This window comes from Homo sapiens, chromosome 15, assembly GCF_000001405.40.
Source record: "Homo sapiens chromosome 15, GRCh38.p14 Primary Assembly".
NCBI classification, from domain to species: domain Eukaryota; kingdom Metazoa; phylum Chordata; class Mammalia; order Primates; family Hominidae; genus Homo; species Homo sapiens.
This window is the reverse complement of record NC_000015.10, coordinates 36,686,009-36,700,864: the sequence shown is the minus strand read 5'-3', so window position 1 is coordinate 36,700,864 and position 14,856 is coordinate 36,686,009. Positions and strand designations below refer to the sequence as shown.

Below are 14,856 nucleotides of genomic sequence, written 5' to 3'. Positions count from 1 at the left end.
GGCCTCATGTGATCCTCCTGCCTCAGCCTCCCAAAGTACTGAGATACGGCCAAAAAATATTAATTCTAAATTAATTATCCTTGGAAAGAACTGCTAACATGTACTGAAACTTATCTTCAGTTTTCCCAGAAGGCTCCACGTTTGCATGAACTTAAAAAAAAAAAGTTTGGTTCTTTAAAATTCTTAATGGTGTCTGCCCACAGCAGGCTTAAGAGTAGTTAGCTACTGGCAATAGAGCCAACCTTATGAGCTCAACTGGCCATCCTAGATATATACTGTGGCAGGAAGGTCCCGGTGAGAAAGAACAAATGAATAAGTAAAATTCCATCACTATTTCAGGAAAAAGCAGCTCATGAGGCAGCAGCATTTTCTTCATTCATAAAGGATAGTGATTGATGTTGAGTATAATTTGTACCTTTCTTTGAAAGGTTTAATGGAAGTAACCTAACAGCCTTGAGTTTTTATTTTCATTATCGAGACAATCATGTGAGCACCTACTAAGTGAGATGCATTCTCACTGGATTCTCACTGGATCAGAGAGAAAACTGCATTCTCATTGGATCACACATGCAATACGGTGCTTGACTATGAGCACTGGGAGCACAGAGTGCTTATAATCAATCACTTTGTACTAACTAGTGTAGTTCCTGGCATGCAGAGAACACAACAAAAGTTAATTGAAAAGAATGAATAAATAATGAAGGGAAGAATTACATGGACTCTCAGAAACTGTTAGAAATTATCTGTGTTCATTGGTAGCTTGTCTCCCTACTGGACCATAACCCCATGAAAGCAGACACTTCATCTGACTTATCTAGTGTCTAAAACAGTATCCAACTTAGTAACTTATTTGTGGAATAAATGAATAAATATGCACATGAAAAATATTTTCTAGTTGGAGAAACTAAAGTCATTTATTCAACTTTGACCTGTCTTAATACAATATACTTATGTGTGGAAGTACAAATTGGATAAGTTTAAAAGATAGGATGAACTCCTATCAGTACATTCAAATCTTCAATGATAAGAACACTTCTGTTTTTCTTTCCTATAGTTCCTGGCTAGATCTTGTGCCATAACAACTGCTCAGGATGTAGTTATGAACCAAGGACATTTAAGAAAGAATTAGTAATTTATTTTTCCCTTCAATTGTTAAGAGTAAAGATAAAATATGCATTTTATAAAACAAATATAGAGCACAATGTGTGGCAAATTTAGAATGGGGTAAAATATTTTAGGGAAAGTCATAATTCTTAAATTAAGAAGGGTTAATATATTAAAAGATGAGAATATTTGTCTTTTGAATGCAGTCCAAATTAGAAGCCAACAGAGAGAGAGAGAGATTTTACTTCAGCTTAGCAAAGGATCAAAATAAATTAAACATGTTTGCAACATCTCTGCAACAAAATTCAAGGTGTACACATGTAAACAAGAAAGACTAAGATTAGTGGTCTGTTTATTTACCAATATTTTTTCCATAGTTGGCTTTAAAATGATCTATCTAAATTTACCTGTCACAACACTTTAAATCTAATTAATCTCTGTGAAGGGGTATTTATAAGGTAAAAGGACAACAGCCCCATAACAATATTTCATACAAAGCTTTCAATTTTCATTTTTCAACCACAAACATATGTTAATTCAGTGCTACATTAAAAATACAAAGAATTAACAACTTCTTTATAGGTTGATGAGGAAATGCTTTAAAACAGGACTCAGGTTGCATAAACTTCCTATATTTCATTTATTTTTAAAGATCAATTAAATATCCTGTTTGAGTATGCTTCCATAAAATAATTACCTCTAGATTCTACAGCACAGAGGAACAGATGAGACCCATCAATTTCAAGTTCCCTTTCTGTACTTGTTTGCAAGTAGAGATGATCCCCAGACCACATTTTTACATTGCTTTTGTCAGCCATGGTGAATCTAATTTAACACGTTCAAGTTCAAGTAAGTTGAGGACTAGGACTAAGTTTAGCCCACATCTACAACCTTTGCTTTTTTTCCCAGCTGGGATTGGCTAGTTCTCAAGAAGGAAGCAGAGAAAAGTTAGGCCAAACAAAAAAATGGGGCTGAAGGCCTGACTGTCCACAGGCTGATGGTGCCCAGAGAGTGGTGCTAAGCAGCTCTGACAATGATGCTGCTTAGTTGGTGGCTTAAAACAAAACAAAAAATAGACTTGGCCATGACATATAGGCCTCTATCTGAGTAATCAATGTGATCGGATGTTTCACAATACTATCAGAACTACCTGGTTCCAAAACATATCTCATAGTGCATCACAGGTCACTCATTCCAACTGGTTCTGAACTATTACGTATTTTCCTTTTGATTAGACTTTTAAAAGGTGATTTCTTCCAACTTACCATCTTTCCATAGGCTGAACAATTCAACTGTCCCCATATGAAAAACCTTGCTGCTTCTACATACTGAAATTTAATTTAGTGACTTGAGAACACTTGCTTAATTAATCAACTTTATTTAAGCCTAACTAGGGAATATTTATGATATCTCCAAGCTTCAAATTAAAACAATCTTATAATACATTCAATTTTATTCTACAGTTTATTAATAAAAACATTGAACATTAAGATTTGGAATAGATTCTTTGTAGGACTTTATTAAACATCTCTTCCTTATTTGACATTTCTCTGCATTTGGTTTGGGCCAATTCTTTGCCCATTTTGGAAAAAACCTTATGTAATCCAATGTTGTTCTATTTTTTGTGTATGTCCTAAAATAAACATCATGCAGACTCTTCAATATCTATATAAAACAGATCTGTATAATAATAAAATGACTTGTATGAAACCTTTACAAATTACCATATTTAAAGTGGAGAAGAGAAATTAATTCATTGTAGAGTGCTTTATGGTTTCTGTGATCACTTATTATATGTATAGTCCTTTGAGGCTTAATTTCTAATGCTTAAGAGATGTTGAAAGAAATAATCTGTAATACACAAACACATGAATACATGTGGGATTTTTAAAAAATCATAATAAATCCATGATGCCAATGAACGTTTGGCATGAAAATAAAGGCTTAATATTTTGCTTTCAAGTAAAAGTACTACCCAGTTCCATATATGAGACAAATATACCCAACATGAATTTTTCTAACTGTTCTTTTTAATATATAAAACATTTTATAGACAATATTTCTTTTGTTTCCTTTTCTCATAAGGGCTAGATTATGGTTAATATCTCATGACACCAAAAGTAATACTGCAACAGATATTAAAGCATTTTTTCAGCCACTTATTCTATAAAATATTAATTGCAAGCTTGTGCATGTGCTGTATATATAGGAGATTAGGTAACTGAGTTCCTGCTCAGTTCCAAATCAATAAAAGATAATATGCACAGCATCAATCATCATTCACTCTTCCTTTAGTGGAAGATTTTTAAAATATATATTTAAGCACTCAGGGAGACAACACAAGCTAGAGAAGATGTGAATAATACTTACCTAGGAAGGACAGGTTTTTCTCTAGAAGCAAGTCTCTCAGCAGGACCTCATGCTCATGACCAATGGCACTGGGAAGTTTCAGTTAAGGGGGTAACACAGGCAGAATTATACCAGCAGGAAAACGCTAATACCAGGTCTATACTTTGAGCAGCCATTTTCACCCTTAGTCCACATCTTGGAGGAATGAAATCTCTACACACATCCCCTCATTTAAATAATTGGATAGAATTTTTCTATAATTTTTTAAAACCTTTTTTTTTTTAATAGAGACAGGGTCCTGCTCTGTTGCCCAGGCTGGAGAGCAGTGGCACAATCATAGCTCACTATAACCTTGAACTCCTGGGCTCAAGCAATCCTCCCACCTCAGCCTCCTGGGTAGCAGGGACTACAGGGGTGTACCACCCACCACGCCTGGGTAATTTTTTTTTTTTTTTTTTTTTTTTTAGAAATGGAATCGCACTATGTTGCTCAGGCTGGTCTCAAACTCCTAGGCTCAAGTGATTCTCCGACCTCAGTCTCTCAAAGTGCTGGGATTACAGGCATGAGCCACTGTGTCCAGCATTTTCTATAATTTTTATATATATTTTGGCAAACAAAGATTTGTAAATGGATGTGTGCTTGTATTTTGAAAAGAAGGAGAGTCATTTTAAATGTACTTTAATCTGTGTTAAAAATCTTCCAATTCAGCTGGGCAAGGTGGCTTGCGCCTATAACCCCAGCCACTCTGGAGGCCGAGGTGGAAGGATCACTTGAGGCCAGTTGGGTAAGGTAGCAAGGCTCCCGCTCTTAAAAAAAATTCTAAAAAAATTTTTAAATTAAAATCCCTCAACTCAATTTAGCATACATTTATTAAGCACTTAATAGGTACAGTAAAGAATACTAGGCAGTCTTTGCCCTAGAAGAATTCCTAATCTTAGAGAATTCTGTAAATCTTCTGTGAATTCACATTTGTCATCAGGCCAACATTTAGAAACTTCTTTGTTTCACTTCCAGTCGACTGTTGTTGAACTTTTGCCACTGGCAAGCCAAACAAGTAACTTGTTAAGAATATATGTAATCTGCAGGAAAGACATCTTAGTAAAGAGTTGTGGATTAGGGTGTGGGTACAGAGGCTGTTTCAAGAGTCTTTTTCTCGTGTGTGTATGCGTATGCATGTACATGTATCTAAATAGATATACATATGAATATATATTTTTTCAGTGCTTACTATGTGGTAGGCACTGTGTTAAGTGCCTTTAGGATGTTATTTTATCCTCATAATTACAATCCTTATTTTATAGATGAGAAAACCGAGGCCTAGAAGGAACCTGCACAGGGCATACAGTTAATGAGTGGCAAATAAGATAACAACAAGATCCCTGTCAAGTCTATGTTTATGACCTCCATATAGCTTCTCAAAAAGTATTAAAATTATGGAATAATTGATAATAGCTAATATTTCTTAAATATAATGTATGAAGACTTTGTACTAAATACTTTGAGATACCATCTTATAATAGCCACACAAGTAGATACTATTATTAGTCCCCCGCCTCTTTTTTTTTTTGAGATGGACTCTTGGTCTTGCCCAGGCTGGAGTGCAGTGGCACAATCTCAGCTCACTGCAACCTCTGTCTCCTGGGTTCAAGCAATTCTTCAGCCTCAGCCTCCAGAGTAGCTGGAATTACAGGTGCCTGTGACCACGCCCAGCTAATTTTTGTGTTTTTAGTACAGATGGAGTTTTACCATGTAGGCCACGCTGGTCTCAAACTCCTAACTTCAAGTGATCTGCCCATCTCAGCCTCCCAAAGTGCTGAAATTACAGGTGTGAGCCACTGCACCCAGCCTTTTAGTCACATTTTTACAATTAAGGAAAGTAAAGTTCAGGGAGGCTGGGGAATTTGCTGAAGGTCCCGTGGCTGGTAAATAATGAAATCAGGAGCAGAACATGGAAGTGCTGTGTATTTTCCAAACAGATGAGATTGCCCAAAGTCTGAAAAGGAGTGTTATCCTAGTCTAGTATTTCAACTGACTCAAAAGCATTTGCATTTGGTAATAATTATGTGAATCATTACCTTCATTGTCCTTTTCACTGATAACGTCAACCTGGTCACGTCACTCCTTGGCTTACCAGAGAAGCTGATTCTGATCATGCACTGCACGAGTTCAACTTAAATAAAACTTCGTTATTTATTAAAAAAAAAATTCCTAGAGAATTATCTTGCATTTTACCAATACATACAGGTGAATATGGTTTAAATCTTAGAATTCAAGAGATGTGGCCATTTATGTTCCAGCAAAACATGCCCTAAGTCATCATTATTGCCTTTTCCTCCAGTTGTCCCTTGCCTTCCAAGGCACATGGCTGTGCTTTTTAAATTTCTAAAGAGAAACAAAATAAAGGAACACATTTTTAAATCACAAAATTTCACAAATTTTCAGAGTCCATTGAAGACATTTGATGAATAACTCTCAATGGTCTCTCATTACTAGGGGCATCCCACACTTTAGAACTAAATTATTTACTTCTATTCCACATAAATGTGCTCTCATTTTTATTGTTGTAAATTATTTACATCTAAAATGTTGAATCATGAAACTGAGGTCTCTGATGGTACAGAAATGAAACCCACAGCATTTGAAGCTTCCTGCATCATTACCTTTCCTTGCTTCATAGTTTATGCTTTTGTCTAATAGCTGTGTCCTGGAGTCACACTTTGGAAAGTTGAGGTGGCTGGTTTCTCACATTTTTTCCTTGGTGAGTATAAGCTGTGGTGGGAAAGGTGTAGGTGGGCATGGCTGCATAGGAAAAAATACAGTAGATAACAAAAAAAAAGAGAAAGCACAATGATGATGTATATACTCTTTGCTAACTGTGCTTTCTGTGATGTCTTACTAGTAAATGACCAACTTACTTTATTCTACTTACACAAACATAACATTTTCATAAGGCACTAAGAAGGTTTAGCACCTATCTTATTTACTGAATGTGTGCTTTCTTTCTCACATCATGATGTAATTTACTGAGAGTAAGCAATGTAAATATTACTAAACTATCAGAAAAACAAACAGCACATTTACTCACATGGAAAAACAATAATTTTTATTCAGTGTGAAATAAAATAATTATGCTGATCAGTCTAGGAAACATCTATGCAAGTGCATTTATACATTATATGAAACTGCTACTACTTCAATGCAGAGACAACATCAGTTTCTCTGTAAACTTCCCAGCCTGTTTTATTTTGCATGACAAAAGCAATCACCAAGTTGAAATTTTGGAAAGATATGTTTCTTAATTATGCTTTGCTTGATATAAACATATATGAAATGCAAAGTCTAGAAAATAAAACTTATAAAATCTGTAGTTTTACTGGCAACAGACATAATGAAACTGCAAAAATTATAACCTAGTCGGTGAATGTAATTTATAGACATACGTCATTATCTTTATCAATTGAAATCATGTACTACATTAAATTCTACTGGCAATAACACAACCAAAAAAGGAAAGTGAATGGTGGCAAAAATGTAAGGAAAATACTCCAGACAGAATTTATAATGCTGTATAAGCAAAAACACTTAGACTTTGTCTATAATAATACCTATTATTGATGTATGGCAGTGACCATGGGCAAAACTTGTAAATAACCTCACAAGCCATTTTCTTCACCAGCAATACAGCAATCTAGTTTCCCGTAAGCATCTCAACTATTACTGAAAAATAGCCTCCTGGCATTTACAAAGCAGTTGACTTCATACTTTAGTCCGTGCATACATAATTAGATAGTTATATTTAAAATCAATATGCAATCCTTCAAAAGACATTATGCTTTTAAAACCTTAACTTTAAATTGATTTTTAACTATTTTATGTGCTTTAAAATTAACATGTAATTCAACCCCAGATACTCTGAGATGGTGTTAGTTGATATATGAATGTGCTAAACTTTCTCAGTGTTAGCAACATAAGGTTGGTACTCCTACAGTTTCTAACACTATCATTAATTTTATACTGAATATAGAAGTACAATTTCACTTTGGTTTAATAAAAAGGTGAGCTTGGGATAATGCTGTGTGTTTTTACTAATTTAAGCTAGACTGGAGAAACAGACTTGGAGGAGAAATACATAAAGGGCTGTATCTTCAATACTGAATATTCTTGTAAGAGGGCTCTGTTCAAAGGTTATTCATCAAAGATTAACTTTACTTATATAGGCATGATTTTCTTATTAAAAATGTTACGACTCTAAGCCTTTGTGAAAGAAGGTGGAATATAAACACATACATGTACACGATTTGACTAGCAGGAGTTTCCAACAAAAAGCCTCCTAACTAGTAATTACTGAGTCACAATTCATCACAGTGCCATCCATGCTAACAAAATCCATACCAGGAGGGACATGTTTATATTATTAAGAGGGGTGAAATTCATGGACTCGGATAGAAATTATTCTCATAAAAATTACTCATTATTTACCATTTAAATAGCACCTTTGAGGATTATCAAAAACCTTGCTGTTGCCACAGTACTACTAAATTTATTGATTAATAATGTCCTACTTTATGTAGTTACTGTCTGTTCAATCTTGTTTTAAAAAGTGAACATTAACTCTTTAGTAATCTCAATGTCTTTAATGAAAAGTGACTGGACATCTGTTTTCACAACCTTAAATGTATTCCAGGAGGAAAAATTAACTTGATTTCTCTAAAAATGTTTATTAGGAATCCAAATGCCGGCTCAGATTGTAATCAGCATTTAAGCAATAAGAATCTGTTGCCTTTAAAATGTGATGTCTCTGGAAGCATTTTAATCACAACCTCCTTTAACTCCAGGCTCTAAATTTATTCTCGTAAATTCAACAAAATTTGGCTCATTTTAAATGGAAATTTGTTATATTTTTAAAAAATGTTTACTGGGATGGGTAGATACATTCCAAGACATTACGTTACCTGCCTAATGACTCTGTACCTGTAAACTCATTGAAAACCAGGCAGTTTGAAAGAAGCATGTGAATGTGTGACTGCTGAACTGACATCTTCCTGTGGTCTACCTGATATTTCTTAAGCTGTAGAAAAGAATGGTCTGTAGTGACCCTCCAGTTGATTGAATGTAAAATAGAAGAGTATGAAATGTGTTTTGTGAAGCAGAACTTTATGTCAGGTTAAAGCTAGACACATCTCCACTGAGTCTAAGCTCGTCAATTGCGCACCTAAAATTTTATGGGAAAGGATACTGCTTGATGCAGTCCACTAGTGGTCCGTAACAGCAGTCGTTCACAATGCACTGCAGACAAATAAGAAAAGGGGTCTGGGGTGGGGCGGCTACAAAAACTATTACAGTAAACAATATCCTAAAAGCAGTAATTACTTTTCTTCCCCCACCCCCGCCCCCCAAAAAAAGAAAGCTATCAAAAGGCGGTTCGGATTTAATCACAGAAAACAAAAATTGCATGCTTTTTATTCACTATAAAAGCAAGCTATTAAAAAGTGAAATGCTCTTCTCGCAAATACTGCATTGCCATTTATGGTGCACCCTGACCTCAGTGATAGTTTATGATGACAGTAATTAAATGAGGTTTAAAATCCTTTACTCTGCTAGGCAGATAACAGCATTGCCACTGAAAATAGACAGCTGTGATTAATACCTGATAGACCTGATTTGCTAGAACTCCATCTGGAATCTGAGAAGGGTCCCGTAGCATACTATTTATAATAGACTTGGAGGCTGTAGAAGAAAAGAGATGAACTGTTAGCAGATAGTCAACATACTTTTAATGCAACATGAGGAGTGACATATATCTACATATACACAAACCATGAAAACAAAAATATGACTGGCATTAATCATTTTTTCCTTTTTCTATAATCTAACAGAAGCTTTTAATTAGACCATTTTGCCAAGTTTATAAGCCACACTACCAGATTTGATGATGACCTAATTTTTCCAAGGTAAATTAACAAGTACAGACCTAAAGCATATGTCTCTTTTGTAGATAAATAAGCTTCCGAAAAGCCCATTTGGGGTAAAAAAAAAAAAATCAGAAAATATTTACCTTTTGCAGGTAGTTATTTTATAACCAAGCATATGTATATGAAGAGTTTAATGAAGACAGGTCAGATCTGAAGTCTTTGAATCTGACCTGTCTTCACTAAACTCTTCATATACATATGCTTTAATTATATCAATTAAAATGGCTTTCAGCCATGAAAGAATCTTCTAATTCTAAACCTTTCCAAAATAATTCTCATCAACTGCCATAAAATCCTATCTCCATTCCACAAGTGAGGAAAGTAGGTAAAACTGACTGAATTGAGAGAATCTTAAATAAGGAAAATATATACAGAGAGAGACACACACACACAAGTTTTCCACCCAAAATATGCCTCAACTTGCAAATTAAGTTGAACCCCAAGGGAACTGCTATAGAAGAAGAGGGGGCACTAAGGGAGGCATCTGATGAAGGTGCTATAGCAAGTGACATCCTTTGGAAAGCAAGGTAGGAGATCCTGACCTCGCTGCTCACTAGGCATGTGGCAGCCACAGTAGCCAGAATTCCTTTTAATGCATGGGAGAAGGGCAGGTCTCTAGGCTGAAGCTAAGTCACGTGTTGCCTAGGTATCGATTATTTCAAGGCCTCCAGTGGAATTATTCACCACAATTTAGCAAAATGGCTTATGGTCTGATCCACACAAGCACAAATTAAAATGCATACTGAATAATTATCTAATTATCATCATTCAAGTTCTGAGATAATTTCGGGTCTAACTTGTTTTCTTTTAAGATTATGTTCTTTATCAAGCTCTATACTATAAGAACACTGATACATAAGATAAATGTTAGTGGCCAGGCGCGGTGGCTCACGTCTGTAATCCCAGCACTTTGGGAGGCCGAGGCGGGTGGATCTTGAGGTCAGGAGATCAAGACCATCCTGGCTAACAAGGTGAAACCCCGTCTCTACTAAAAATGCAAAAAATTAGCAGGGTGTGGTGGTGGGCGCCTGTAGTCCCAGCTACTCGGGAGGCTGAGGCAGGAGAATGGCATGAACCCGGGAGGCGGAGGTTGCAGTGAGCAGTGATCGAGCCACTGCACTCCAGCCTGGGCAACGGAGCGAGACTCTGTCTCAAAAAAAAAAAGAAAAAAATGTTAGTAAATACTGTGGAAATAAATAAGGAAATTACATCTTATTCACTTAAAAATAGTATTGGGTCTGCAAAGAAAAAATGAAGCATGATTATTTTAATTACTGCCCACTGTTAGTCATATAACTACATGCTTATAGCAACACTTATGTACTTAGCCATTTGTGAACACGTGTTTGCACTGCAAGTGAAAAGGTCATATGGAATCTCCAAAAGAGCATCACCCAGCTATCCTATCCAGCCCTATCTCTACAACTGGCTCTGCAACCTTGGCAAGTTACATAGCTTCCCAAGTTTAATGCCCATTGCTATCTGTAGAAAGTGAAAATATTATTTAAGCTGACTACCGAAATAAAGTGTTCTTGTGTGGTCTCTAGAGAAGACAGCTAAAGCACTATTTTGCTAAGTTCAAGTAATAGTAAGAATCAAATCAAACTTAGGTATTTACTTCATACAAACCATAGGGTTGGACTCAATTATTTCTGAAAGCAATTACCACTGATAAGTGGTAAAAATATCGGGAATAGGAAACAATGAATCATCTTCTTATAAAAGAAAAGATTACAGCAGCAATAGTATTAAAAAAATAATGTGCCTGGGAAACTCAGTATTCCCAACCTAATTCTAAGGCCTGGCCAGTCAGAGGGGACCAAAGCAGTTGTCCATACCTTTCATTACCTTCTAGAGGGAACTCTCTCTGGCCTGCCACTCGAGTCACCACATGGTAATGGCAGACACATTCTTTTATGTTGCCCATAATGCCAGCAGAGGCCTAAGAAAATAGGAGCACCTTCTCTGTATGGACCCCAGTCATGGTACATTCCAACTCTCATGAACCCATGTGAGGAAGAGATCACTAATATGTAAGTGGCCATGACTAAGAACGCTATCCTATAAAAATTACAGATCTCATATCAAACTATATGCAAACTCCTGGCTAAAATAATAAAACAAAGGCTGTTTTTTAAAAAAAGAAAAGGGACAATACTCCGTGACATAAGAAAAGTAGTCATTTATTTTCAGCCAAAAAAGGGAAATATCAAAAGAAAAAATAAACTGATGACATAATTTTCCTCACAATATAAATTTTAGAACAGTGGTATGCTTATCAGGATTAAGAATCATAGGCAATAAACTTTTTTTTAAAAGTCTGAATATGTTGAATAAACACTATTCAAATGAAAGGAAACTTGCCAGAGGAAGTCAGTTGTTTTAAATGGAATAACAGCAAAAAGTATACATTGAGTCCACATTCATTTTAACCTCAACAAAATGTCTTTTCTCTTCTTGCAACCCACCACTTTTTAGTGCAACAGAGAAAGTTCCTCTAGGAAGTGACTGCCTGTGCTGTGGACCCAGGATGTATCTGCCAAACACACACAGCTCTTTCCACTCAGGCTTCATGAAAGTATGTTGGTGTCTCAGATCAAGCCAGAGAATGTAAACCTACTTTTACACACAGATTCTGAAGCTTAGGAACTGCCATCTCAAAGAAATGAATAATAACATCAACCAGATAAGTAAATGCGACTGGACAACCTTGTCATGGCCAGAGCTAAGAGGCCTCAAGAAAGCCTGTGTCTTTTATGGAAGCTGTTCCTAGACCACCTCTGGCCAATTTGCATCTGGCTTTTTTAACCACACATGGACAGGATTCCTATTCTCCTCAACCTTTGGTAGAGGCATTCATTCTGTTGATTTCACACTTTGCCTCTGCCATTCCAGGATTACAATGAACAGGATTACAATTTTCTACAAAGTATGTATAAAGCAGGAATGTATGAGTCACTGGAGCTAGATTCACAAGAATAGGAGAGACTTGGTACCTGTTAAAGCAATGCCTGGACTAAGGCACAATGCCTAAGATTATGAACTTTTTGTTGTGAAGTATTTTTAACATAAAGAACTAATATATAATAAACATCTGTGCACTCACCACCCTGACCTAACTTCTACGTCTGCAATAAATTTGCTTTAGATAGTCTCATATTAATTTGTATAAGCTTTTTTTTTTTAATTTCTCAGTCTTGCTAGAGGTTAGTTTTACTAATATTTTCATGAGACCAAATGTTGGCTCTGTCGATCCTCTTTACTGTACCATTTCTTCTAATTTCATTGACTTTATCCTTTTTCATCATTATTTCCTCGTTCCCACTTTGAGTTTGCCACATTACTCTTTTACTATTTTTATAAAATTCATTTTCAATTTTTTATTTTAAAATATACTTTTCAAGGCTATAATTTTTCCTCTAAATTTTGCTTTAGCTACATGCCACAATTTTGTTATCATTCATTTATAGTTTACACTTTCCATTATTTCATCTTTGACCCATAAGTTATTTAAAAACATGGATTTCTGCTGTTTCTAATTTGTGATGTTTATATTAATATGGTTTGTTTCACTTTCCTTGTGTTTTTATATGTGATCAATTTTTGTTAATGTTTTATATGTCTTCAGAAAACTGAAGTTCCTACTTTTGAGCTGCAAGGTTCAGATATGTCTAGTAGGTTAAGATTTTAATGGTATTATCCAAATCTTCTGCATCCTTGTTATTTTTTTTTCAACTACACATGAAATAATCATCTACTACTACTGTGGAGTTGTCAGTTTCTCCTTATAATTCTGCCAATGCTTGCTTTCTGTATTTGGAGACTATACTGTTGGGTGCCTGCACTCTCAGTTGTTATACACTGAATTCTTGGTAAGTATGTCTTTTGGCAAAGTCAAGACTTTCTTTAACTCTAATAAAGGTTTTCTGTTAAATTTAATGTGACCTAGTGGTAATACTTCTGCAACACTTTTCTTTTGGATAGGATCTGCCTCCCTCACATAACTAGTGTTCCATTTCTTTTTATTGTTGTTATTAGTTTTTTATTTTCTAATGTTAATTTTTATTGTACTAATTTCCCCATTTCTTTACTTTGAACTTTATTGTGTCATTATGTCTTACGAGTGATTCATAAATAGTATTTTGTTGGATTTTCTAAAATCAAATTTGACAATCTAAGCTTTTTTAAAAATGTGAATTTAACCCATTTACATTCATTACAACTGATACATTCAGGCTTATTTTTACTCTCTTATTTTCTGTGTTCTGCTGATCATTCTCTTTCTTTCTCCTCTTTTCTCCCTACCTTCTAGTTAATTAAGTTTTCTTTATTCCCCTATTACCCTTTATTCCCTTGGATATAATACATTCTACACTGATTTCTCCTTCCATCCCTCCCTCCCTCCCTCCCTTCCTTCTATTCTCTTGGAAATAATACATTCTACATTGATTTGTCCCTCCCTTCCTTTCCTCCCTTTCCTTCCTTCCTATCTTTTCCTTCCTTCCTTCCTTTTCTTCCTTCCTTCCCTCTCTCCCTCCCTCTCTCTCTCCCACCCTCCCTCCATCTTTCCTCCCTTTCCTCCCCTCCCTCCCTCCCTCTCTCCCTCCCTGACTACCTCTCTCTCTCTCCCTCCCTCCATCCTTCTGTCTGTCCCTCTGTCCCTCTGCCCTCCATCCCTCTGTCCCTCCCTTCTCTCTCTCTCTTTCTTTCTTGTATTTTTTTTAGTAGAGACGGGGTTTCACTATGTTGCCAGGCTGGTCTCAAACTCCTGGGCTCAAGTGATTCACCTGCCTCGGCCTCCGAAAGTGCTGAGATTACAAGCATGAGCTACCGTGCCTGGCCTCTATGATGATTTCTTTTTCTTTTTTTTTTTTTTTATTATTATACTTTAAGTTTTAGGGTACATGTGCACATTGTGCAGGTTAGTTACATATGTATACATGTGCCATGCTGGTGCACTGCACCCACTAACTTGTCATCTAGCATTAGGTATATCTCCCAATGATATCCCTCCCCCGCCCCCCACCCCACAACAGTCCCCAGAGTGTGATGTTCCCCTTCCTGTGTCCATGTGTTCTCATTGCTCAATTCCCACCTATGAGTGAGAATATGCGGTGTTTGTTTTTTTGTTCTTGCGATAGTTTACTGAGAATGATGATTTCCAATTTCATCCATGTCCCTACAAAGGACACGAACTCATCATTTTTTATGGCTGCATAGTATTCCATGGTGTATATGTGCCACATTTTCTTAATCCAGTCTATCATTGTTGGACATTTGGCTTGGTTCCAAGTCTTTGCTATCGTGAATAGTGCCACAATAAACATACGTGTGCATGTGTCTTTATAGCAGCATGATTTATAGTCATTTGGGTATATACCCAGTAATGGGATGGCTGGGTCAAATGGTATTTCTAGTTCTAGATCCCTGA

General features: G+C 36.0%; 1 protein-coding gene across 20 annotated transcripts in view; it reads right to left on the bottom strand.

The window, feature by feature from the left end:
• Positions 1–14,856, bottom strand: part of CDIN1 (CDAN1 interacting nuclease 1) — a 230,619-nt gene that overhangs the window by 109,380 nt on the left and 106,383 nt on the right. For 12 of the 20 annotated variants that reach the window (XM_047433174.1, NM_001321757.2, NM_001321761.2 and 9 more), the window contains 3 exons: positions 9,101–9,180; positions 8,690–8,739; positions 3,475–3,542 (listed from right to left, as the gene is read on the bottom strand). The exons of 2 other annotated variants lie outside the window; for them this stretch is intronic. In XM_047433174.1, the coding sequence (XP_047289130.1) occupies positions 3,475–3,542; positions 8,690–8,739; positions 9,101–9,180 (198 nt within the window). Of the gene's footprint in view, positions 1–3,474; positions 3,543–5,624; positions 6,253–8,689; positions 8,740–9,100; positions 9,181–14,856 lie in introns of those variants that run through there. 6 more of the 20 variants (XR_007064491.1, XM_047433173.1, XR_007064492.1 and 3 more) reach the window with 6 other exon arrangements.